This window comes from Homo sapiens, chromosome 3, assembly GCF_000001405.40.
Source record: "Homo sapiens chromosome 3, GRCh38.p14 Primary Assembly".
Classification (NCBI taxonomy): Eukaryota; Metazoa; Chordata; class Mammalia; order Primates; family Hominidae; genus Homo; species Homo sapiens.
This window is the reverse complement of record NC_000003.12, coordinates 156,661,205-156,663,763: the sequence shown is the minus strand read 5'-3', so window position 1 is coordinate 156,663,763 and position 2,559 is coordinate 156,661,205. Positions and strand designations below refer to the sequence as shown.

Genomic DNA, 2,559 nt, shown 5'->3' with positions numbered 1-2,559 from the left:
TCTAAAACTATTTTTACAATGATCCAAATGCAATATCTAGCATTCATAAAAAATAACCAAGAAAGCATTCACAAACTGGTGGGACAAGTCAAAGGACAAAGAAAGCAAATTGAAGGTCCTCCTACAGGCCAAAATAGGGCAATTTGAATGATAAAAAGAATAATGATGGTAATTCATTAAAAAATAGTGAATAAAAAGAAAATCCATGAGTCTATAAAAATACTCAAAAAAAGTTGGGGGGCCTGGCATGGTGGCTCATGCCTGTAATCCCAGCACTTTGGGAAGCCAAGGTGGGTGGATCACTTGAGGCTGGGAGTTGAGACCAGCCTGGCCAATATGGTGAAACCCTGTCTCTATTAAAACACAAAAATCAGGTAGGCATAGTGGTGTGCACCTGTAATTCCAGCCACTTGGGAGGCTGAGACAGGAGAATCGCTTGAACCCTGGGGGCAGAGGTTGCAGTGAGCTGAGATCGCAGCCACTGCACTCCTGACTCTTTCTCAAAAACAAAACAAAAAAAAAAGGGAGAGGGAGGGGATACAAAAAAAGAGGGAAAGCTTTTCTTTATAGAAGAATGCTAGCTAATAAATGTGGACAGATTGATAGAATTGGAAAATCACCATTTTGAATCACAAAAGTAATAATAATGGTATACGAGGTAAACTGAAGAGCCAGGGATGGCTCTTCATTGACAATGAAAGGATTATCAATGTATACTAATGCCAATAGGTGAGAGGTTGGAAAATAGTCATAGTTTCCAAGTATCTCCTTATACATTACTCATTAATAACACAAAGAGATAATCTGACAATAGAGAAATCCAACACATATCACATTAACCAAATGATCAAACTTAAAAATGAATACTGATGGTACTAATGAACATTACGAGCCTTCTGATATTAATGAATAAGGGAGGACAAACCATCATCTATGTAGTGTTGTTGCCAAAATATTTAATCTAAACCTAAGCATTAGACAAATCCAAATAGTAAGACATTCTACAGAACTCTTTAAAAACTATCAATGTCATGAGAGGGGAAAAAAAGGCAATGGAACTATTCTAGATGAAAGGAAAGTAAAAGCTATGCCTAAACCTAATATAGATACAGGATATTTTAAAATGCTATAAAGGATGTTATTTAGGCAATTGAATAAATTTGCAGATGTACTGAATATTAGATATATTGTGGTATCAATGTTAAATTTCTTGAGTGTGATAAGAGAGATATTGTGATCATGTAGGAGAATATCATTGTTCTTAAAAGAGATACATGTTGAAATGTGTAGGAAATGAAACATCCTTTTATATGTAGAGGACTTTCAAATGGCTCTGTAATATCTATATCTATACATATGCATGCAGTCTTCACTTTGCAGGACTGTAAAAAGATATGGTAGTACAAGATTATAAAAATGACCATGCAAGCTGAAACTACAAAGTGATCTTAATCAATGGGGAAAATCACAGTTGTTCTGTCACCTTTAAAAATGTTTACCAAAACATTAAGAACACTCTTACGGTCAGTCATAAATGCAGAAAATTGTAAAAAAAAAAAAAAAAAAAACACAAAACTAATTTGTATTTAGTGCACTGTAATTTAAAACATTAGAAATATTGAGGATTAAAGTGTTTTATTTCTTTGTTAAAACTTACCAAAGGCCAGGCATGCTGGCTCACACCTGTAATCCCAGCACTTTGGGAGGCCAAGATGGGCAGTTTGCTTGAGCTCAGGAGTTTGAGACCAACCTGGGCAACCTGATGAAATACTGTGTCTCCAAAAATAATACAAAAATTAGCCAGGCATGGTGGTGTGTGCCTGTAGTCCCAGCTACTCAGGAAACTGAGGTGGGAGTATGGCTTGCACCCAGGAGGCAGAGGTTGCAGTGAGCCATGATCATGCCACTGCATTCCGGCCTGCGTGACAGAGCAAGACCCCATCTCAAAAACAAACAAACAATCAAACAAACAACATCAACAATAAAAAGCTTACCAAGAATAATTTGAACAGTGTTGCTTCTTCTGATTATATAACTTATCTTATGGATGAAGCATCTTTTCTCCACTTTCACAAATCATCATATTCCTTTCTAAGTTTAGATTAGCTTACATTATTTTATCCTTTGCATTTTCAGTGTTGTGAAATGTTTCTAAAGAGATTTTCTAATTGTATCAATCTACCTACTTTTTTGTGAAGTTTTTTGGCAATGTCACTTCCTCTGGGACATCTTCATCCTTTTTTGTCACAGCCACTTTCTTCATTAATGTCAATAATTCCACCTTTACTAAGTTCCCCTGACTGCATACCTAGAGTCTTTCTAATGATCACAGTGTCAATATTGCCATAGCCAACTATCGTTTCTGTAACTCTATGTTTGATCTGAATTTCACATCCAGTGTTACTACTTTTCATGTTTTTCCTTCACTTTCATTTTTCTTGGCCAATTTCCTCTTTCTAATATCTGTTTTGTTTTGTTTTGTTTTGTTTTTTTGAGACAGAGTCTTGCTCTGTAGCCCAGGCTGGAGTGCAGTGGTGCAATCTTGCTCACTGCTACCTC

General features: G+C 36.1%; 1 annotated feature.

The window, feature by feature from the left end:
• Positions 2,239–2,288: an enhancer, noted in NCBI's record as "active region_20730". NCBI's record gives its function as "activates an Ori minimal core promoter by ATAC-STARR-seq in GM12878 lymphoblastoid cells {active_cell/tissue: GM12878}" and the evidence as "EXISTENCE:reporter gene assay evidence [ECO:0000049][PMID:35858748]".